The sequence below is a fragment of the Homo sapiens genome, chromosome 3 (assembly GCF_000001405.40).
Source record: "Homo sapiens chromosome 3, GRCh38.p14 Primary Assembly".
NCBI classification, from domain to species: Eukaryota; Metazoa; Chordata; class Mammalia; order Primates; family Hominidae; genus Homo; species Homo sapiens.
Genome location: NC_000003.12, coordinates 71,000,861 through 71,026,062, shown reverse-complemented (window position 1 = coordinate 71,026,062; position 25,202 = coordinate 71,000,861). Strand labels below are relative to the sequence as shown.

The 25,202-nt window shown below is 37.4% G+C and overlaps 1 protein-coding gene across 18 annotated transcripts in view; it reads left to right on the top strand.

Annotated features, from left to right (window-relative positions):
- FOXP1 (forkhead box P1) overlaps positions 1–25,202 on the top strand; it is a 629,271-nt gene that overhangs the window by 557,916 nt on the left and 46,153 nt on the right. For 16 of the 18 annotated variants that reach the window (NM_001244810.2, NM_032682.6, NM_001349340.3 and 13 more), the window contains 2 exons: positions 10,410–10,514; positions 25,004–25,091. In NM_001244810.2, the coding sequence (NP_001231739.1) occupies positions 10,410–10,514; positions 25,004–25,091 (193 nt within the window). The remainder of the gene's footprint in view (positions 1–10,409; positions 10,515–25,003; positions 25,092–25,202) is intronic. The other 2 variants (NR_146143.3, NR_146142.3) reach the window with 1 other exon arrangement.

Below are 25,202 nucleotides of genomic sequence, written 5' to 3'. Positions count from 1 at the left end.
TTTCATAGGTTTTTCTCATTTTTCAGAGGGAAGGGACCTTGACTGAATATGGTACTGTGCCAAGTGCATGGAAACCCTGCCTTCCTAGTATACCCTAATTTCTTAGAAAAATTCAAGACTGTCACTTAACCTTCCTAAAAAGTTGATTGTGACTCTGCTTTTCCTCACATACATCCTCAGGGATATGAACCAGGCTTAGAAGATACTTAAAGCAGACCTAGAGTTTGGGGACTGTGAAGTTTTCAAACTCATTGATTCAGTAGTTTACTCTGGGATAATCTTGATCAGTGTAATATCTGGTAAACATTAATCACTGACCATATCACCCAACAGATCTGTGCTGATGTAAAATTGGTGTTTGTTAAACAGAAACAGAAAGTGACCTTTTCCCTGTGCTAACTTCCTTCAGCCTTACCTGTTTTGTTACGTTTAAAAAACAAAAAAGAAATACAGCCTTGCATTAATTTTTAAATAATTTTGAGCCAGCAAGCATTTCTGTGAGTTTGCAACAATTACTTGGGGAGGTTGCCCAGTGCCACCCCCTTACATATTTATCTATGTCCATCCATCTTGTTATAAAGAGGGCATCCTTGTGACTGTTTCTTTAAGCATAGACATTTTTAGGTCAGATACAGATCAGGGAACACCCAAGATCCTTGGTACTCATGTTATGGTCCATGGCCCAGCAGCTCTGGGGGCTTACTCCACATGCATAGTCGTGCGCCACCCCACCACCCAGAACCACCGAATCGGATTTATATCTGTAATAAAGTTCGAGAAGCACTACTCTAGGAATAGCAATGGGAAAGGAAGGTTGTATGCCCTTTTCCCCAGACACAGTTTTTATAGTCCCTTAGGGCCCAGTCAACATTCTTTGAGTCATTCTCCTGCCATTCTCCATTTTTGGCTTGTCTGCATATACTTATTACTACTATCTACTTCATATTTTTCATAAATCGTCTCGTTTAAATAGGTTGTATAAAAAGTAACTACTGAGAAATCATGTTTCTGATGTACTCATAAAAACTTTATCCAACGCAGATGAATATAAGTCCAGAACTATGGAAGTGAGGGTATACCATGCAAACCCACCCAGCACACCACTGGCCATGAGCCATGCCCTGAGGACCACTATAGAAAAATAACTCTCTTATTTCTCCCAGCATAATTTGCAAATCAAGAAAGAAGGGGGGAACAAAAACTAAGTCTGGACATAAATGGTTAATAGCTTGTATTTCAGATGTAAAGTTAGTTAAGGTAGTCCTCACATCTCAGAGCACAATATTGAGAGCAGATAATAACAATAATCTCCATCATTGTTTAAAATCACAAATCTGGCACTTAATAGACTAATTCACAGTCACTCCAATTGCAAGTTTTACTCATGAATATCGTATCACATGGGAATGTGAAATCCTCTAATTAAACATGATTTGAAAAGCAGCAGAAAATTGAGATGATGAGCGTTCTGGGGAAGGAGAGTCAAGGATTCCCTGCGTGAGAGAGAAAGGGAGAAGCATGTGTGTTTGTTACAGTTTGTAGAGAACTCCATCCTTATTCACTCTAGGGTAGGCCCTTTAATAGGCTTTAATAAAACACCCTTCTCTTTGTGGGAGGATTACAGGACCCATTGTCAACTTACTTTTGGAAAACTGATTAATAAACATGTAGGGTGGTGTTTTTCTGCAGTGAGTGAGAAGTGAAAATTAAGGCAGTGTGCTAGAAATGCAGTGTCTAAGTTGTCTCCCAACTCTTCGGTGTGAAATAAGAAGCCCATCTGCTTCTCAAAGTGTTTTCAGTGACAGTTGAAGGAGAAAGGTCATTTTTACAAAGCTGCCAGGGAAACGCATGCGGCCCTTGCATCGTCGTTTCTCCTGTTCCCACGTTTCATCTGCTCGTCTTTGGGCAGGTGTAAGACCTTTTCCTCCGATGCTACAGTATGGAATGTGAAGAAACTTTACCTGTCGTTCTGTTTTCTGCAAGAGATTGTGATTTCTTTTCCAGCTGATTTCCAGCTGATTTCGAGGGGATATACAACAGTATGAAAAACGCCAGAAGAATACACTGTAAAGTGGAAAGTGGTGCTAAGTATTTAAGGAATCATCTCTTTGAGATTGTGAATCTACCTTGCTCTTCTTAGAAAAGGTCGTTGCGATCAAGTTTCAAGGCCAGCTCGTCTAGTTTGGTATCATTTTGTGTGACTGAGCATATTTCATTCGAGCTAATGATCAAATATTTCACAAATATTTGATAGCAATTAGTTTTTGTAAATTTAGTAATTTCAAATCAGAAGTCTGATTATATTTTCAGATAGGACCTCATCACTAGAATATTCTCGGATCAAATTCGTATTCCCATCTTCAAACCTAAGAAGTACATGATATGGTTCGGTACAATCTCATTGAAAGTAAGCTATGATAACAGAGTCACAGGCAGGGAAATGTGATAAGAACTAAAAAGTGAAGAGAGAAAAGGGAAAGTAGGATCATTTTGTATAAGCTGTCATTGAAGAATCAGCAAATAAATCTGAAAGCTTTAAAATAGTAGTGGCTTCCATCGATGCCTGCCATTGTAGCGTAAGTGTAGCTTAAGACACTCTTTATTAGTAGATAGGGCTAAAATTGTATATGAAGAGAACAGCTTTCTAGAAACCCAAGGTGTCTGATTTAATGTAATGTTTTGGCTGGGAATAAGCAGTCTCTTACCGTGCAGACAAAAATCACAGGCTGGGATGGACCTGAAAAAGGAGGATTCTGTGGCTTACAGTGTTGTTAGGTTGACATAAAGTTGTGCACATGGACATGAGACCAAATAATTTGGAAGGATAACAGACAAAGAGAGACATGGAAGTCTTTTGTCAACAAAGCAGCCTTACTGATGAGTATGCTCGGTGCCTGTCTCAGGGTCGGAGTTCATAAATGTTGGCTGGACGGATGAAAGTCCTAAATGGTGGGAATGAAGAAGGTGGCCAGTGGGGGAAGGGAGGGAGGCAGAACAGCTTTTAAGTCAAAGGAGGTGGGAAAGGGGATGCATAGTGCCTTTTGGTTTGTGTATTTGCTGTGGGTCAGGGATGAGTGAGAGGGGAATAGCAACCAGCCCCCTGCTCCACAGCCATGATGAAGACACCGATACTCCTTCCTGAGGGGCTTCATTCATTCCTTTAATGGATTTCCATTCAGCACCTACTCCTTATTCATCTTGTCAATACCAGGATGTGCCATTGGTGCCTGTTCCCTATGCCATCTGCATATCCTTGGTGGAAGTTTGGTGGAGGTTTTACCACTGGGAGGAGCTCTTGTGTGATTCTCTTCAGCTTTCAAATGAGGGAATTGGAGGGCAGAGCAGTGAAAGGACTCGCAGGATTCCTGGTTACAAGCAGAGCTATCATGACAAATGAGGCCTCCCAACACTATGCTCCCAACCATTCCTATAGGGAAATAGTGCTGGCCCTCAGTAAAAGGAACAGTTACACTCCATTTACATGTTAAGCAGAGAAAGCCACATAGCACATTCATTCTGCAAAGGTTTTTCAGTACACAAAGGATCAACAGGATCTGGGAAACAAAGTTGCCCTTAGGCACTTATTCTTCAAAAAGTTCAGCTGCTATGGTTTTATTTTTATTAAAAACCTATCTCTCCCCCTACCCGTCAAACCTCAAAAGTTATTTTATAGCTTAATGTAATTTCAAAAGTTGTTATATAATTTTAACTATAAATTCTTTTGAAAACATGAGCAGTATGTTGGGGAAAAAGAAATCTAAGAAAAGTGAAATTTAAAAAATGCCAACGCTTACATTTACGTTCATTTTGACAAAAGTAATGGTTTGATACTTTTATCAAACCATTCATTGGGGATAGAGTAGTGTTTTTATCAAATGGTGCTGGGACAACATTAAAAAAAATGAACTTGGACCCCTGACTCATATCATATGCAAAAATTAACTTAAAACAGACCATAGGCTTAAATGTGAAAGCTAAAGCTATAAAGTTCTTTAAAGCAAAGCTAGAAGTAACTCTTTGTTACCTTGAGTTTAGGCAATGGTTTCTGAGATGTAACACCAAAAACAGAAGGAGCCAAAGAAAAAATATATAAATTGGACCTCATCAGAATTCAAAATGTTTGTGCTTTAAAGCACACCGTAAAGAAAGTAAAAAGATAACCCACAAAACAGGAGTAAATATTTGCAAAAAACAGCCCAATTAAAAAATAGGCAAAGGCTCGTAATAGACATTTTGCTGTAGAAGATACACACATAGCAGTAAGCACATGAAAATATGTGCAGCCTCATTAATCATTAGGGAAATTCAATCAAAAGCACAATAAGGTACCATTTCCTAGCTGTGAGGATGGCTGGAATAAAGATACGTAACAAGTATTGGCAAGGACGTGGAGAAATTAGAACCCTCACACAGTGCTGGTGAGAATATAAAGTGCTTTGGAAAGCGGTCTCAAAGTTCCTCCAAATGTCAACCGTAGAGTTACCATAGGACCCAGCAATTCAACTTCTAGGTAGATATCCCCTAAAATTGAAAACAGATACTTAGAGTACATGTACATACACCTTCATACCAGCACTACTCGCAATAGCCAAAATGTGGAAATAGCCCAAATGTTCATCAACAGATGAATGGATAAATGTGCTATGTATGTACAATGGAATACTATTCAGCTACAAAAAGGAATAAAGTACTAGTAAATGCTACAGTGTAAACGAATGAAACTCCGAGGATTATGGGAAGTGAAAGAAGCCAGGCATAAAAGAACATATACTGTATGATTCCCTTGATGTGAAATGTCCAAAATAGACACACCTCTAGAGACAGAAAGATTAGGGATTGGCAAGGGCTGGGAGTTGGGAGGAAATGGGGAATGACTGCTAATGGGTACAGGATTTCTTTTGAGGGATGATAAAAATGTTCCAAAATTAGTTGGTGATGATGGTTACACAACTCCGTGAATATTGAATTATGCACTTTAAGTGAGTGAATTGTATGATATGTAAACTATAACTCAGTAAAACTTGAAAAATGTATTTCCACAATTTTGAGTGAGTGGAGAACAACCAACATAGTCTTCTGTAATTTAATTTATCAAATAACATGCCAGTGAAATAAAATACAGTTTATAATTTAGGCAGGATTTCGTTTTTTTGGTGTTTGTGGGGAGGCATAAACCGTAATGGGCACAGATGTACGTAGCCTTTTGCTGCAGATGAATCAGAAATTTGGAGAGGAGGAAAACAAGGCAAATTTGGAAAGAGGCAGATTTGGAAAAGGGAAGAAAAATTAAGGGGATACTTAAAAGACAGATGAGAACTTGGGTCAGTGCACAGGAAAAGCTCGGAATCTGCCTTCAGGTGAAGGGAAAACTGGCATTTCAGTTGGCAGGAAATGGCTTGGCAGATAGCAAGGTCACTCTTTGCTTCATCTCCTTCAGAAATTCTTCCCTCTTAGTTACCACAGGGGAAATTAGCTTACAGGACTAACAGTGTAAGGATCACTAAAGACTGCAGACAGCAGAGTTGAGAAGTTGTCCTTATTTAGCAGGTGGATTTAGTAATTCCAGTTTGAAGCTTTGGTTAAGTAGTGACCTTGGGAATATAACCATGAAATGTCATAAGGAACCATAACCATTATATAAAATTGTCTCAAAAACTAAGGTCAGTGTTGAAGTGAAGACCTTGGGTGGTATACTTTGATGCAGAAAAAAATAAATAGAACAAAATATCCTACTTAACTGTCATTGAAAATGACACCCTTATATCCTACTGAATATATACTGGATTTGGTATCATTTAATGTCAGAAATTATTACATATTTATATGTAATTATACTTTTCATGCAAGTTGGTTCTTTCTAATCTGAAATGCTATCACTATTTTTGTGTTAAAATTATATTTAATTTTTACATATCAAGGATTATCAAGAGAAATTTAAATTAACTGGCTTTTCTCAAATGCATACTATCTGTGTTTTATATATTCAGAATAAAATTAAATAATAGAAAGTGTCATAACGATAGTTTCTCATGTAGCTTTGCATAATTCTGGTCTTTACCTACAAGACATTTTTAAAAAGGCCAACACCAGTTGAATGTATAGCCACACAGAAATGAAATAGAACAATATATTTACTGTCTGTTCATTCATAAATCCACCTAACATTCATCAAGCCCGTGGTTTTATGTTTTGTTTTGTTTTGTTTTGTTTTGTTTTTTTTGGGGGGGGGACCGTGTCTCGCTCTGTCATCTGTCGCCCAGGCTGGAGTGCAGTGGTGCAATCGGGCTCACTGCAACCTCTGCCTCCCAGGTTCAAGCGATTCTCCTGCCTCAGACTCCTGAGTAGCTGGGATTATAGGTGCCCACCACCACACCTGACTAATTTTTGTATTTTTTAGTAGAGACAGGGTTTCACCATGTTGGCCAGGCAGGTCTCAAACTCCTCACCTTAAATGATCCACACACTGCGGCCTCCCAAAGTGCTGGAATTACAGGCGTGAGCCACCGCCCCCGAACTCAAACCTATGTTCTGTCGGAGGTACTGAGTATATGGAGCCGAAAAAGTGATCCCTGCCCCTAGGAATATTCAACCTGGGAGTTTGTGGTAAAATACACCTTATTAAACAATTGACCCTAAAGTTTTAGAAGTCTAATTTTGACAAACATGTTTAAATCTTTTAAAAAGAAAATGTATCTATTTTCATCACTGACCCTGACAGCTTTTCAGAAATGATACTTTACACATTGGTGAGTTTACCCTTGAATAATTTATCTAAATGATTAGGCTCACTGCTTTATTTACCATCAGATGCCCAAATCATCCTTTTCCCACCATGTTTCATCCTGTAAATGTAGCTCTAAATTAATTCAAGATAAAAACATTATTCTCCTCATTTTTATTTCCCTTCTTGTCTTTTTTGGCACGACCCAAAAGGCAGTAAGAATATAAATGCTTGTTCCACTTTTTTGAGAAAACAGAAAAGCTCCCATTCAGAGGTGCAGCTGGTGTTGTCCAATGATGCTTCATACAGAACGACTGCAAAGCTAGAAGCGAGTCCCAGCCACACATGCAGCGGGTGTGTGGTATTCATTGTGCCACTGTTAGAGCACTCAGCAGACTGGAAATCAAGTCCTGCATAGCACTTGATTCTTTTTCTACTACATACATATATGCAAACACACATATGTGTGCAAAAAAATTAACAATTGCACAGCAACAGTTCCTACAATGTGCAAAATTAAAACTTCAAAAGATGTAAGAAGTATGGTGAAAACTGAGTTTCCCTGCTACTCCTGACTCCCTGTACCCCTCCCCAGAGGCAACAGTTGTTCCAGTTTCTTAGGTATCTTTCCAAAAAGATGCTATCGAGGCACCTCTGCCAGCTTGTTCTCTCTCCTTCCAAAGCCAAACACTTTATTTCAGACAATTGTGTATTTAAAAGTATCCAGTTATATATTAAATATGAAAAGCAAATGACAACAGTGTGTACAGGATGTTTCCATGTTTTAAAATAATAATGTGTTAGAAATGCAATATAAACCCGAATGGTAAATGATGCCTAGGTTGGGGTGTGGGGGTGCACTTCCTTCGGGAACCACTGCAGTTTAATATGTGAACTTGTGAAAACAAGAGCATGTAATTTTTTCATAATAAAGAAATTTTTTTAACTAAGAGACAAATTCACAAGCGGTCTTCTGAATGTGTAATTGTACCCGTGTGTGACGAGTATGAGTTTCTTTAGACTTCAGGTATAACTGATTGCGTTCTAAGGCCCTAGTGTGTCGTTATCTGTCCTTTGAAGTATAGGGATAACAAGTTGAACTAAAAGTAAATTCTTAGATGTGAATAGTTTTATTCAGATCTTGGATCCTTCACAAGTCAGTTAACTACAAACAGGAAGGGGAACAGCAAACATCGTGTTAAATTCTACACATTTCGAGTCCAAAACCCTGCTAGTGAATGCATATTATTATTTTCTCTCATGTTATTATTTTCAGAACACTCCCAGCTTAACCCAGGAAGCACAGCCGTTTAACCACTTACAGTTCTTAACTAGTAATATTAATTTTTCATCCTAACTAGTTCAGGTTCCTGGTTTCCAAATTGAAAAAATCACACAAAATATGTATACTGGCTAAGAGTGTGCTCGGCATGTAGCATTTTTCAAGAGCAACTTGATAGAATATTCACAGTGTTAAATTTTGGTACTCATTAATTGAGTGATTCTATTTCTCTGAATGTATCTTCTGGTAGCAGTCAGTTGTGATAATATTGGCATGTTTAAGCTGGTAAATTTTATTTCTAACATTATCTACAAATATAACAAACATGAAGAGAAACTCAATGTCCAAAATAGAGGAATGGTTAAATTTTGGCATATAACTAGAGTTAAGTTGATACGTGATAGACTATTACCCATCAGTAAATAAGGTTCTTGAAGATGAGTTGAGAACATGAGAAAGTATTTACAAAATTATGTTAAATATAAAAGAATGATATAAATATTCGTGCCTTATCAAGTGTGTATGTATTTGAAGGTAGGTTTTTTTTTTCTTTTCAGGATTTTCAAGTTTTCTACAATAACAATATATTACTCTTTTAAAGTTATAAGAATAGTTAAATCTTAATAAAATTGCTAAAGAAAATAATTATTAAAGTTGGAATATTTTTCTTTTCTTTTTAAGCTGTGGATTAAAAGTTTTCTTTTTAAATTATTTTCTTCCCTCTTAGAATATCTGAGAATTCTACTACTGTTGAAGTATTCTTTCATTTGTAATACTGTTAGTAAATTCTTAAAATTCTATTTTTGCATTTCTATTTTATTCATTCACAGATCTGAAGATGAACACAAATAGGTAGTAATTCTTTCCTTGAGTCCAATGCAGTTTTACCCTGTTAACTGCTTAGAGAATATCCTTTTATTGTTTGGCTTCATAAATCTCACTATAGCTACTTGAGTTCCCTTGTTTTATTCCTTTCTTGTATGAGGGGCACCTTTCTGTATTTTTACAAGTTGTTTTTCTACCTTTTTTTCTTTTTCTTTTCCTTTTTTTTTATTCTAAGACCTATTTTCTGTGGTAGGGCAAAATAGCTTGTTATTATCTTTAAATTATATTAGATTTCCAGCAAAATTATTCAGAAGTCATAGGGAGACGTAATGATCTTTGATCAGGTGTAGTTCTGTGTGTCTGTGTGTTTACTTTTTATGCTCCTTGGTTTGTGTTCATAATACACTTACTGTGGGTTGTGTTATAAGTCAGGGACAAATGGCATTTGTGTACATATGCTCTATGAATGTAAATTGATAAAATACATGAATATACATCCTGATGGCAATATGAAATGAAATACAGGCCTCTTGTGTGTATGCATGTGTGTGTGTGTGTGTGTGTGTGTGTGTGTGTGTTCTTGTAATCATCATTCATTGTGCTTGAAGTTCAAAGTCAGGCAGAGACAGTCGAGTAAGTTGCAAAATAGCCCTTCCCGGGAAGGGAATGCACTTGAGTACGAAACAGAACTCTCAATGTTAGCTTTACATTTCTATCTGATGGAATTTAAGGTTATGGAAACAACTGTAAAAATAATTTGTCTGAAAGAAGTCTGGATGCAGAAATATAATAGAGAAAATATTTGAGAATATGGTTCATCGGTGAGTGCAACAGATACTCTTCCCCGAGCACCACATGGTGCGGATCAAAGCATCCCATGACTTGGATCCGTGTGGCCAGATCATTACGTATTGATTGGAACCCCACTGGAGGATTAACCCCTTCGTGTTCATGCCAAATTTTCTCTCACTGTTGGTGTTAGGAATTTTAGGAATATAATCTTCTTGCCATTATTAGCTTTTTTAAAAAAAACACGAATCATCTGCTTGGATACATTTGTCTTCCTAAATTATTTTGGTATTATTCCAAATTATTTAATTGTACTCCTCTTTGCTGGATAAAATTAACTTGGGAAAAAATATGTGATTATATGAAAGCAGTTTCTGGGGGAAGGGAAGAGGAGAAAATGGATAATATTCCTTGTAGATGTAGCAAGAAAATCTCAAAATCAAGTACAGATTTTATAATTTTCATTATGTAGATTAAATAAGTTCTAGCTTTTTAAAGACTCCTTCGCAGTCTGAGTAAAGAGCTTTGCATCTAACAAAAGCCTGTCAAACACTTTTTCATACATAGATGTACATTTCTAACATTTGACTAAATACACTTAGGTACAATTTAACTCTTGCTTTTAGGCAACAATGCAGAATTAATTAGTCAATTACATGGGATGGGGGAAATCACAGATTTGTCTTGTCCACATTTGGCCATGTGGGCTCCTCCTGCCTTTTTTATCCTCGTCTGGTGGAATGGTTCTTGGCAGCAAATTCATTCTCTGGTCTTCTGTGTGTTTTCTTTCAGTTTGTCCCATGAGGAGCACCCCCATAGCCATCCTCTCTATGGACATGGTGTATGCAAGTGGCCAGGCTGTGAAGCAGTGTGCGAAGATTTCCAATCATTTCTAAAGTAAGAATGATTTTATTTTGTTTTCTTCTTTTACATAGCCAACACCTCCCACCGTTCATGCTTTGCTCATAAAATGCCTTTTTGATGGAGAGTTTCACCTCACCCCTTTGAGAGTGGACTCTAAATCACAAGGTCTAGTGCACTGTCATAGGAATAGTTACAAAATCTATTGAGGGTTGTACTACAATGGGAAAAAGGCTTACATTCAAAGGCGTAAGTCTTAGTAAGAGCCCATATTTACCCATTTTTCAGAGTGACAAGGATTAAAAAAAACGATTCCAGTATTAAACTTGCAGTTTTTTAGCGTTTACTTTTATTCATGTCCTTACATATCAAATCAATGACATATACACTATAATTTTGTTGTTGTTGTTGTTGTTGTTGGAGGTGTCATCTTCTTTTTTTTTTTAAATTATACTTTAAGTTCTAGGGTACGTGTGCACAACATGCAGGTTTGTTACATATGTATACATGTGCCATGTTGGTGTGCTGCACCCATTCCTCATTTACATTAAGTGTATCTCCTAATGCTGTCCCCTCCCCTCTCCCCCCACCCCACGACAGGCCCTGATGTGTGATGTTCCCCACCCTGTGTCCAAGTGTTCTCATCGTTCAATTCCCACCTATGTGTGAGAACATGCGGTGTTTGGTTTTCTGTCCTTGCGATAGTTTGCTCAGAATTATGGTTTCCAGCTTCATCTGTGTCCCTACAGAGGACATGAACTCATCCTTTTTTATGGCTGCATAGTATTCCATGGTGTATATGTGCCACATTTTCGTAATCCAGTCTATCATTGATGGACATTTGGGTTGGTTCCAAGTATTACTATTGTGAATAGTGCCGCAATAAACATACATGTGCATGTGTCTTTATAGCAGCATGAATTATAAACCTTTGGGTATATACCCAGTAATGGGATGGCTGGGTCAAATGGTATTTCTAGTTTTAGATCCTCGAGGAATCGCCACACTTTCTTCCACAATGGTTGTACTAGTTTACACTCCCACCAGCACTGTAAAAGTGTTCCTATTTCTCCACATCCTCTCCAGCACCTGTTGTTTCCCGACTTTTTAATGATTGCCATTCTAACTGGTGTGAGATGGTATCTCATTGCGGTTTTGATTTGCGTTTCTCTGATGGCCAGTGATGATGAGCATTTTTTCATGTGTCTGTTGGCTGCATAAATGTCTTCTTTTGAGAAGTGTCTGTTCATATCCTTCGCCCACTTTTTGATGGGGTTGTTTGATTTTTTTCTTGTAAATTAAGTTCTTTGTAGATTAGCCCTTTGTCAGATGAGTAGATTGCAAAAATTTTCTCCCATTCTGTAGGTTGCCTGTTCACTCTGATGGTAGTTTCTTTTGCTGTGCAGAAGCTTTTTAGTTTAATTAGATCCCATTTGTCAATTTTGGCTTTTGTTGCCATTGCTTTTGCTGTTTTAGTCATGAAGTCCTTGCCCATGCCTATGCCCTGAATGGTATTGCCTAGGTTTTCTTTTTCTAGGGATTTTATGGTTTTTAGGTCTAACGTTTAAGTCTTTAATCCATCTTGAATTAATTTTTGTATAAGGTGTAAGGAAGGGATCCAGTTTCAGCTTTCTCCATATGGCTAGCCAGTTTTCCCAGCACCATTTATTAAATAGGGAATCCTTTCCCCATTTCTTGTTTTTGTCAGGTTTGTCAAAGATCAGGTGGTTGTAGATGTGTGGTATTATTTCTGAGGGCTCTGTTCTGTTCCCTTGGTCTATATCCCTGTTGTAGTACCAGTACCATGCTGTTTTGGTTACTGTAGCCTTGTAGTATAGTTTGAAGTCAGGTAGTGTGATGCCTCCAGCTTTGTTCTTTTTGCTTAGGATTATCTTGGCAATGTGGGCTCTTTTTTGGTTCCATATGAACTTTAAAGTAGTTCTTTCCAATTCTGTGAAGAAAGTCATTGGTAGCTTGATGGCGATGGCATTGAATCTATAAATTACCTTGGGCAATGTGGCCATTTTCACGATACTGATTCTTCCTATCCATGAGCATGGAATGTTCTTCCATTTGTTTGTATCCTCTTTTATTTCATTGAGCAGTGGTTTGTAGTTCTCCTTGAAGAGGTCCTTCACTTCCCTTGCAAGTTGGGTTCCTAGGTATTTTATTCTCTTTGAAGCAATTGCATATGCACTTTATTTTTATAAAATTGGTGACAATTACTGGCCAATTGCAGCTGGGTGATTGGACCCATTCTTTGTTATACAATTGACTTTATAAATGTAGAAAGCAGATGGCGAGGAAAGCTACCAATTTGGTTCTTAACTTTCTATATTGGTATTGACTTTTGTTCAGGTTCTTGTCCTTATAGGGAAAGTGGAGTAACAATTTCTACTGTTAAAGTATGACTAAGACCTGGGTTGGCCCATTTGAAGCTATAACACCTATAAAGCATCTCTGTAAGGAAATAATATTAATCTCATAGCTGAAGTGAAATGCTTCTATGCTATTCCTTACTTGTGTTACCTTGTCAGTTAAAAATAAAATTTAGACCAAACTGCCCTCCATTTTTGTATCATATAAATATATTCATAATATCACTGAATCATTAACCTATGAATTGAATATAATGTTACATGATATTATAGACATGTAATCAAACATATGCACATGTATACCTATAACATAGGCACATGTATAACTATAACATATGCCCATGTATACATCTGGGTGCTTGATGGTTTACAAATTGGGTGTTGGGGACCATCTCCTTCTAGCTTTTCTCTCTCATTCAAGCCCCAGGGAAACAGAGGTGAGCTGATTTATGTGCAGGTCTCCAGTTTTGTGTGGTCTTTATATTGTTAGAACAGTCTCTGTATCTATCTTTATGGACCCGATACAAATATTGTAATAAAGCCATCCTTAGAGAGATACCTTGTGTTACCTGCAAGCAGTTTTGGTGAATATAAATTTTTGGTTAATGAATGGAAGCCTGTGAATCTATTTCATAGCTTTCTTGCCTCAGGATTATACTCTGAGAGCATTATGTAGTCATTGAAAACTTAAGTACTTAAAAATATTTTAAAAGAGATGTCCAAAATTGCTTCTAGATGTGAACAATCACGATCAGCAATGCTTTATTTTAAATTAAGCAACAGCCGTTTACAATTATTATCATTCAGAGTAGTGATATTGGGTTTTGTTTTGTTTAGAAATCACTCACTATAGAATCTTAGTTTTGTTCTTTCCTGATCATTTGCCTAATCATATTTATATAATGAGAGAAAAAGAACTTGGCAGAGCCACTTTTAAATTCTGAGTTTTTTCTTCTACACCAGTGCTAGGTTTGATAAATACCTTGGTACCGATTTCTTCCATCTGTAGAATGGCTGATAAACATCTGTAAATATGATTTATTGTTATAAAGTCTCTAGAACTATAAAATTGCTATCCATAAGCTCAGGGACATATATCAGTTTCAGAGTCAGAAAGGGAAATGACAGTTTCTAGACCCATTTTAAACATTTTGTTAATGGCTAACTTATGCCTACCGTAAAAAATCCTCAAATCATAGGTTCATTTGTTATGTGAGCTGACAATTAGGTTATATTTATTAGAAGATTATCCCAAAAAGGAGAGAGAATAATTTTCGTATTAAAGAAAATAAAGATCATTAGAATTGGGGCCTAGACTCAATTCCTATAAAAGAGCCCATTTCTCTTCTAAAGATATTAGAAGTCTGGCACTTGTATAGGAAACCACCTATCAATTATTTATTGTGGTTTTGCACATGACACGACATGTTCTCAGTTCCTGTTTGCTCAGTGGAATTGGAATGCCCACTATCAACCTGCAACTGTTGCTTGGTTATTTCCTGGTACTTATTTATTGACTTATATTTGTAAGACGACTTTTGTTTGTAAGTTACAGAAACCCAACTTAAATTGGCTGAAGCGAAAAAAATAAATAAATAAATGAGGGATGATAATTGGCCCCTATTGCTAGGAAGTCCAGTGGTACAGCTGGCTTCAAGCATGGCTAGATCCTGATATTTAACCAAGGCTGTTGGAGTATTGATTGTCCATTAGCTCTGTTTTTCTATGTTGTCTTCATCTGGGGGCTCTTTCCAAGTGGAACTGAAGAGGACAGGTTTATTAATCCCACAGAGTATCTCTTTCCATGTAGCCCCAGAAAAAGCCATAGGCAGACTGTCATTGGCCCAGATTGAGTCATGTGTTCTAGCTTTGAGCCAATCACCATGATGTGCCCTGGCTTGCATTACATGCTGCCTCCAGAACAGAGGGAGATGTTCACCCCACGTGAACCACATGGGGGCTGGGGATGAGAAAGTTGCTTCAAGAATGTAAAAATGAATATTGTAAAGTAGCAAAGGAGAGCAAATGCTGAGTAAGAAGAAACTCCCCTAGATGCTTTCCTGAGTTACGCATTGACTGGTCATATGTAACAAATTCAGGATTTCAGTTTTCCTCTACAACATGATTTTAACTCTTGGAAATTCAGAGTTGTCTTCAGGTATCAGGATCTTGCCTAGTGCAGTGGAAAATAAGTTAGTCTTCTTGTAGATTCACATTTCCCACTTCTCTGTTCAGTCTAAAGGGAAATCAAATTGACTTTGATGAAACCAACTTTGTTTTCCATTGAACCGAACTGAAAGAAGCTAGCAAACTTCTGTGGTTCAAGTAAAAACCACCTGGCTTCTTTGAATGATCTCACTGGGTGGGGGGGGAGGGGGGGTTATTGTCATCAGAGAGTGATGCATCAAGTACTTTGCTCAGATTGCTGGATTCATAGATCCTGAAAGCATCTTCATTTGCTTCAGTGGACCCAAAATTCTCTAGTCTACGCTTCTCTTCAGTTGTCCCTTTCTTTTTTAGAAGGGATTTCTTATGGTTTAGGCAAATTGATAGCAGTGTTGCTTGAATTCTCCTTGGTATTCTTACTTAATAAAGGTAACATTGCTTTGACCTTGATTTAAGTGTTACTTCATAGATTATTTTCACCTATTTTCTGTTCCCTTGATTTTACACTCCCCTAGTAATAGTTTATAATTAAATAGTACTGAACCTTAAAACAGGCATAGTCCCGAAATGCTTCACATATATTAACTCATTTAATCCTCACAAACAGTTTATGCTAGTATTGTAGTAGTATTCCCAGCATAGAGTTAAGGAAACTAATGCCCAGAGAGGTTAAATGATTTACCCAAGGTCACACAGCTAATAAGAGGTGGAGTCAAGGTCCAAACCCAGGCAGTCTGGCTTCAGAAGACTTATTCTTAACTGCTGCATTATACAGCCTGGTTAGAGGCAGCACTTCTTATTGACAGTTTGCTTTCTGCTTGGCAGTGGATGTAAAGAAAGTTTTGGAGAAAGCCTGACTGGGTAGTGAGGACATTATTAATATGTTCTTTGAACTAGCCACATGTCATCTGAGCCTCAGTATCAGCACATGTGATTTGGGATGTTAACCACTTTTTACGGTTGTTAGAATTAAAAGGTACACCAGGCAAGACACAGGTGGTTTACCCCTGTAATCCCAATGCATTTGGAGGCTAAGGTGGAAGGATTTCTTGAGGCCAAGAGTTTGAGACCAGCCAGGTCAACATAGCAAGACCCTATCTCTGCCAAAAAAAAAAAAAAAAAAATTCAGCTGGGTGTCGTGGCATGTGCCCATAGTCTTAGTTAATTGGGAAGCTAAGGTGGGAGGCTCACTTGAGCCCAGAAGTTCGAGGCCGCAGTGAGCTATGATAATGCCACTGTACTGTAGCCTAGGTAGCAAAGCAAAACCTTGTCTCTAAAAATTAAATAAATGAATGAGTAAATAAAAAGTACATCATATAAACTGCCTAGCCCATACTAGGCACTCTTTAAAAGCGTTAGAACTTCTTAACCTACTTAGATATATTTATTTTTCAAGGATGAGTAATTTTAAATATCCAAAAATTTCCAACCTTCTACCTAGGAAAAGGAGTTGTGACTATGCAAAGCATTGATATATCCGAAGAAATTGTTCTGTAATAGAATGTTTTAATCAGAAACCTCTGGTAAAAAGTCCCACACAGAGGGGAGGGCATGGCAAATTTTTTCCATAAAGGGGTAGACAGTAAATATTTTCAGCATTGCAGGCCATACAGTGTCTGTCACAGCAACTCGACTTAGCTCTGCCATTGGGGTACAAAAGCAGCCGTTGACCATGCGTAAGGAACAAGGAACGAGTATGGCTGTGTCCCTTGGACCACAGTTTGCTGTACCATTTTTGGTGTCACCAACATATTTTTAGCTGAGGAATGCTTTTGTGGCCCCGGACATAGCTATCCAGGGTTATGTTAGCTTGGATTCACAGAACCCTCAAGTTAGTCATATTTGAGGGGAGATATCCACGTGTGTCATGCGCCCCCCCCCCCCCGCCCCCATGATTTCATTGACCAACCATGGTTGCTGTACTTCCTTGATCTTGGGTTCTTCCACCCAGTTTTTAGGGTTCAGACTAAGGGAGAGGAAGTGACTTTGCCAGGTAACAGCTTTCTGGTCTTCTGCAGCTCCAGATTAATAAGCTGTAACTGTTACAGAGGCCAAGCTTGGTTCTTCAGGATAAAAATCCCATCTGTCAATACTGTGCCACTGTTAACAGAGAGAGGGGTTCAGAAAAAAGAGAGGTGGGGGGGACTCACAGGTCTAAAACTGAAGCATATTTTTTTTTCCCTCCTGAGGAAGAAATATCATAACTGTTGGTAAATCAAAACCAGAGATTTGACACTTTTCTGTGATCATTCTGCAGCATTTGTTCCCAAGGTGAGGTATACCACAGGGCCCTTGATTTCAAAGATAAATACTGTACAAATAACCATCCTGTTGTCTTTCCCTCACCGCCAACAGAGGGACGCTTTATCAGAATCAGCAGATACCCAGTCTATTGTATGCATTTATTTCCCTGTTTCTTCTGAAAACAACTTGCAGTTTTAGTGTTGATTTTTTTTTAATCTATCAACCATGAGTTATCATGTGACTGTTGCATTTGTTAGTGCTAACTGATAGCAGCAGGTGCTCCTGCTAACTCTAATGAAATCGTCCAGCCCTGCATTGCTTGGCATCCTCCGATAACAGAAAAACAAAAACAAGTCCCGTATCATCCAGAGTGGTGTGAAGCTCATCGGCGTTCTTCCATCTTCTCCCCACTTGAGTCCTTTCTTTTTTCTTCTTTTCAAACCAGGTGAAAGACACAATCTTCACTAGTAAAAACGTGGATTTGTAATTCTTCCCTTTCCTCCCCCTCCCTTTTTTTAATGCTCATGTAATGCATTGGCAAAATGAGGAGTAGATTTGAAGGTTAAATCCTGACCACATTTCCCTGTTTTTAACTTAGAAGGTAAAATCAAATGCAGGCCCATAGTTTCACAAACACCAGGTACTCTTATGTGCTTGGGGGAAAATGTTTCCATTTCTCCTAGTTTTTCTTTTAAGTGACCACTTGTATAACGTCTACTAAAAGTATCATTTGTATCCTTGCTTAGTATCCTATTTGAAAAGAATTTTTTTTCTTTTGGTGATTTCTCAGGGAGAAAAACTTCATGCAGAACAAAACAAAAATTCCCTTGCTTGTTAGATGTATGTAATTTATGAAAGCCAAAATAAACTGTATATGTGCTGTAATGGAAGACAGAGAAATGTTGAAGAAAATGCCCAGAAATGGAACTTTGACCCTTCCCGAAAGGTCGAGGGCTGTAGACAGTAGAGGACATTTCATTGGTAACTTGCTTTTTAAAATTTTTTTCTGTGAATTTTACTTTTCAAAACTGTGAAGAGTTTTGTGTGAAAGAAACTACTAAGTGTGCTCTGTAATGTTTTCACAAGTGTTTTTATCATGGTAACATCTTGTTTACTTTAGTTCCCTGCCTAAAACTACTTGGAACATGTTAAGAAAACACTTCAAGAAAGCCTCGACAAAGAGGCTTTTGTTTAACAGCCACCATGAGGCAGCGTGGATCACAAAGGTGTTAACTTTCAGCCCCTTAAGCACTTCCACATGAAATTCCAGCAACTATGTTTGTGGTTTTGGAAAAACAAAGTGTATGTTAAAGAAACCAGGTATATGCTAATACATGTCGAAGGAGGCCGGATATCATAAATTGTTTCAAACCCATTTGTGGCTCTCGGCTTGCACGCCTGAATGTTCTGCAGTGAAATTACCTCTAGTTAGTGTAGGAGACTTCAGCCATGTAGAGGGAATAGCTGTCTATAATTGTGGATGTATGCAAATCAAATTCCAGCCTCACAATTTAAATCTCGAGAAGATGAGGATGAAAATTTTCCCCATCAGATCTGAGGTGACAAGTCTTTGAGTATTGCAAAATGAGCTGTATATTTTTATGAATTTGACTTTTCTACTTATCATGCATTTTTTATTGGTTTTAGAAAAATAAAAATAGGGTGTTACCAAAAAAAATTTTTTCCCCCTTTTAATGTCTTTTTTAACCTTTCTGACATTGCTTAGGAGTTCAAGACCTTTCTTAGTACTCGAAGAGGTCAAAGTGGCCTAAATACCACAGTGCCCTCTAGTGATATATAGAATATTAGATAGAAAAGTTTAGACAAGTTTGCCAAAGATAACAGGCCCAGTGCCACCTCTTTGCTCAAAAGGAAGCAAATAACATTTGAACGCATTTTTTTTCAACAAACAGATTTTAGTTAGAAATGCAAATTAAATTTAAATTTTTCTTGTAGGCTTTGAAAACATTGGAAAATTTTTTGAATGTCTACTTATGCAATTAATTCTACATATAACTGCATATGTGCATGCGGTACATCTATATCACTGTAGATGCATTGTTGAGTGTTCTTATATTTTAAGAGCCATTAGTTAGCTTAGGTATTTCATGTGATCATTTCCGGCATGTAATTAGAAGGCATTACTTAAAAGACAGGGATCATCTTTGCTCCATACTTTTATTGACACTGTCTACCATATTATGGCCATGTCTAAATGGTAAAATTTATTATTAGCAATAGTGTCACAAAAGTCTGAGACAGCGATTTTCCTTTCAATAAAAGTAGTTAAAAACCTTTTAGAAAATCCATAATTTTGATTGCTGGTACTTCATAAACGTATAACTGGTACTTTTTAGCTGTCTCTTTAGGGAAAAATGAGTTTTATCACCTGCGGTACCTGGGTTAATGAAATTGTGTGTTGGAATTTAGCCAGGATGAAAGATGAGATCATTCCAAGACACTAATATTGGCAACAGGTCTCATAAAAAGCTCTGACTCTTGAGTGAAGTATCATTAGATTTTTTTATTATTATTATTTTATTTAAATTGAGAGATTAAGTTAGTTGTCATTTTCAAAGCTTCTGTACTAGCGAGATTCTCATTTGGCATTACGTTCAAAACCCAGTGACCTAAAAACCTGTACGGAGCCAAGAGAAACAGAGAAGTGTCCATCAGTGCCTAGTACAAGAATTTCCTTGCTTCAAATTTCAACTCCAGTTCCTGTTCAGCCCTTTACAAATCACGACTCTCAGCTCAAATTTGAAATAATGCTGCCTTTTTCCCCCGTGTTCCTCCTGTGTTTGATTGTTTGTGGATATTAGCTGTCCAGGAAATCCCATACTTACAGATATAAATCCAGAATGATCTTGTTTTTCCGCAGCCAGCCCAGGATGTATTAGACAGTTATGATGATTTGTTAATTTTTGTGACCTGTATTTATTTTATGTGTGCTGTATACTTCGAGGCTGGAATCAGCTGTTGAAATGCTCTCCGTCTCTCACAGGCAGAAAGGAAGCGCTCTACTTTTCCTTTTCTGCTTTGGATTTTCTTGCTTTATTTTTGGAAGGTTTTTTAAATCTCTTCACGTCTGCTTTTTATGCGCTTCTTCCATATGGTGATAAACAAGAGGTACATTGTGTTTGATAGACTTAAACTCAATCCTATCAAGGGTGGGTCTTTGGAGATGCATGAACAGGGTCACATTCTTTCCAAATGTGTTTTCCATCCATGATGTGTCTTGACTGTGTAATTCTATTCTCGTTTTTATGGTGATATACATTTCCCCCAAATAATATATTAATCCTCAGATTTAATATGTGTTTCAGTAGAATTCTGCCTATTACAGATAAGAAAATTATATTATAGTCTTGAAGAAGAATAAAAATCAACTGAAGTTAGCATTATTTTTTTTCTCTTATACCCGTCTTCATAAAGGGCACTCCTTATGATTCTGGTTTTTTTTTTTTTTTTTTTTTTTTTTTAAATCAGGTATTTGTTTCTCTCCACCTCTGATTCAGTTTCTATTCACAGAGACCCACTACTGCTCCTGAGTCTCAGTGTCAGCTCACTGGCTAAGAGATGCTGCCAGTTTTTGATGTCTCAACTTAGGATGGTTATAGAATAATGGAAACTAGGGCAGTCTACCAAAAAATTAAAGAAAAAGTAATAAAAATTCAATCCTACCAAACAATCTATATTTATAGTAGCCTGTTGTTTTTATAGCTGTATTTTAGCAAGATTTTATATTTGCATCAATTTCGGTCTGGAAAAATGACACATGCCAACGTTCATAACCGTTCCTGATGTCTCCACATTTTCCATAGCCCTTTTTATTTCAACAGCATTTCACTGGGCTGCATTAGAGGCCATTTGAATATTTCATTTCCTATTAATTATGCACTGTGACTCTCAGTGTCATTATAAAAAAGAGCCCTAATGTAACAAAGGATGAAAAGAACCATCAAGCAGTGTGACCAAAAGAAAATATTCCAAAGCTTGTCACGTATGACCGGCTTAACATCTCTAATTTGAAATCCATTGCATTCATCTTAAATTAAAGCTTAAGGAATCTACCTTTACCTTGTTTCTTTTGCTGCATGTTTTAGGTGACTGAATTTTTAGTTAAAATATTAATGGATTCTGAAGGTAGAAAGTCTTTCTTTTTTAAGTCGTCAAAATGTGCACAACGTTAAGTATTTAGTTATATCTGTAATTTTTGCATTTCACCTTTAAACCCTGGTTAAAGACATAGCTGTTAATGAAAACTGTGCACTTCAGTTAATAGGTTAATAGCCATTAACTATTCAGCTAATAATTCTTAACTATTAATCACTACAACTCTCTTTTCATTTTATTGGTGTTACGGAAGAAAATATAGTGTAGGTGTTAATTTATCAAAAAGAACAGGATTATCAGAATTTCATATTACATTTCTAGCTTTCAGAAAGATCATCATCATCGTGATTAAATAAGGCAAAATCATTTTTTTTTTACTAATCTCCTTGATTATAACAGGCTCATGTAATATTTTTTTTTCCCAGAGCTATTTCTGCTGACCAAATTATCCAGTGTATGGTAGCCGTGATCATTTTAAAAACAAAACAAAATACAGTGGCATTTTTAACAAAACAAATGTTTGTCTAACATTTGAATTCTCCATTCTTGCAGAAACAATTGTTTTGCTTTAATTTTCTGAACTTGGGGGGGGATGTAGGGTTCCACTTAAAGTCCACAATGCTGTGTTTTCTTTATGTTGGTTAGATAAAGGAAACTTTAAACTATAGTAAATAACCAAAAAAAAAAAGTGAAATTCCCAAAGTCAGCTTGGGCAACATTTGCTGAACTCCCAAGTTGAGCACGGAAGCATGCCTAGTGACAGTGACCTACATGGTCACTGAAGATGTGATATAATTTATGATATATATAATATATTGGATCCATTAGCGAGCATAATGAAGTAGTGAAATGAAAGGGTATTTGTGAAATCAGTTCAAACATCCTGCTAGGATTATGATTAAATGATTAATGAAATGCTCCTGCATAAGCATTTTCAAACAGTAATTCATGCAGAGGCTGATAAAAATCCTCCAATCATATTTCCTTCAGTCGTGAACCTTATCTCGACCATTTTATATAAATCATGAAATACGTTGTCTGCCGGCAAGCTACTTATTTAGATTAGTTATAAATGTGCAGAAAAAGGGAACATCTTTGCAGTATAAAATAATCACGCATAATTATATTCATAATTCAAGCTTGTGACAGATTCCATCTTTCTTATTCTTGTTGTCCTTTGCCTTCCTTCTGGCTTCATTTGATTTCTCTTATCTTGATGACATAATTAACTGCTGAAGCTATGGGAAAAAAAAAAAATAAGGAGTCTTAGGGAATCCAAAAGGGGTTTATTCATTTATATATACACAACAGCAGTGCAAAATCACCATATGTGTTAATCCACAAATACTGTGTTTAAACATCATTAAGGACATAACTGTGTCCTGCAAAAGAGACACAGAACCAGGCTCTCACTGCGTTTCATTATCTTCAACCCCTTGTAGATCCACTGCTAGCGGAGTAATCAAGTAAGTGAAGGCCTTGCTTTTTGTCCGTTTGGATCTTTTATCAGTTTGGCGAGGGTGACTTTGAAGAGCGATGGTGCAGCCTGGAGGAATTTCTTGAGGGCAGTGATGCCCAGCTTCCAGTAGCATCTGGCATGTCGTTTGGGTTCTTAGCAAATGTTAAACAGATGAATCCAGCTCCTTCCAATGAATGTATTTTATAAGTGGGTTTAGTACTATTTCCTTACCAAAGTCCCTCAACACTCAGGGAGTCCACTGGGTCCTGGTCTGTGGTCTTGTTTCATTGGTGACAGCTTATTAGAATGAAAGCCTCTTTCTTTACTTCCAGTGAAGCAAACAGTGTCATCGAGTGGATGGAATCCTAGGTGAGACAAGAGACTAATTGCAAGGGTTGGGGCACTGATTACCCACGTGGTTTGAGGCAAGTCTCTTGGGATCTCTTGAACCTCGATTTCTGAATTTGTAAAATGAGGAATTGAACTAACTCCCGAGTTCTGACACTTTGAGGATCGTGGGCTCTTTTGCAAATCTCTTGACAGTTGCAGACCCTCCCTGGCCCCAAAACATAGGCTAAAACTTTTGCATGCAGTTTCAAGAAGTGGAATGATCCCAGTTTAAGAACACCTGAACTAGGCCATTTTCTCAATTACAACATGCTTCTTTAAAAGCAAGTTGTAAAATATTATTCACCCCAGGTGAGTGAGCAGCATGTGAAACTGCTTAGCTCGGGCTTCCTTGTGTGGTCTTCTATTGTTTGTTCATTTACTCTTTAAACAGAATACACCATAGTCATTATTCTGGCCTAAGATTGGAGGTAATACCTTGAAGGTGCATCACTGTTGTTCACCATAATGTCTCCTCTTTACTGCTTTTTTGGAGGGGAGCGAGGATGAGATGAATAAGTATGAAGAACAGCAGAATTTGTATCCGTTTTGTTTTTAAGGTAAAAGTCATTACAAGTAGTTTTAGGACATGAAATAACTACATTTTGAGGGCTGTTAAACAAGAGGGGATGCATTAACAAAGGAGTGAGCTTTAATTGTACCTAGTCAAGTACCAGAGGTGAACATTTGTTTTACTTAGTTGTTTCAAAGGGTTACAGACCTGGGTTTTAAATCTCTGATTCAAACCACATTTGGAACAAAAACCTGAAATAGGGTAGCACCCAGAAGCCTTAAAAATCAGCTGTCCCTGTTGTTGTTGTTGTTATTGAAGTATTCAACTATTTTTATCTTACATCCAAATTGTAATGTGGCCTAAATATCATGACAGTCTTGTTCATAGAATTTGAGGCAAATATCCCATTACAGAATCAGGTCTGCTGTATCACTAGTAAGAAAGGACTGAGTAATGTAGAGACATGAATTTTTATTTTCAAGACTTTAGGCTTTGATTCAGCCCTCTGATTACCAGAGCTCCTGCGTATGCTAAAACTGATTGAAATTTCAATTTGTTAGCCTTTTCCCTGTTGGAAAGTCTAATAAATAGTAAAAGGACCACAAGACAGGCATACTCAGCATGTGGCCTGAATCATCCGTAAACTGGATATCTAGACCATCAACAATCAAGAACCCAGGCAGAGTTTTCCTTTTAAATAATTGTCTGCATTTCTCTCCCCCACCCCCCACCATTGGTACATAATTTGCATGTGTAGGCTCATGTTTCAGGTTTCATATGTTTAAAGTTGCTTTTCTACCCTTTGCCATTTCTGACATTCACGTGAATGCATTTCAGTATATGGATGTATCATCAGTTATATGAAGTCAGTTTTCCTGTGGTCAGACGATCCTGTTCCAACCCATACAAATTAGACTCTTCCGAAATACCTAGCAGGCCCTGTCTCTGATTGCTGCCCATTAAGGTGGTCTTGAAATGCCACCCTGGCTGAATTTCTTACTTATTTATGTGTAAATGGTTATCTCCAGACGCCCTGCAGAACTTCTCCCTGGAAGGCTTTTCTTTGGGTGATAACAGTGTGTGCCACATTATACATAATGACAGCATTAAAGGGTGGGGATGGAAAGGACAGGCCACCCCCTGGACTACTATCTCCTGGGAGCTAGACCCGCTGCCTAGTTTATGCTTAAACATCCTGGTAACTTATATTTTCCTTTTTGTTTCTCCATTTCACTTAATGATTTTCTATGTATTGTTGCAGACATCTCAACAGTGAGCATGCGCTGGACGATAGAAGTACAGCCCAATGTAGAGTACAAATGCAGGTTGTACAGCAGTTAGAGCTACAGGTAAAACCACATTTATTTTTAATATTAACCTCAGTATGCCTCAAATTCCAGATTTCTGTAGTGTTCTGTAATGAGTTCCTGTGTACTCATTATTGAATGGAAGGTCCAAAA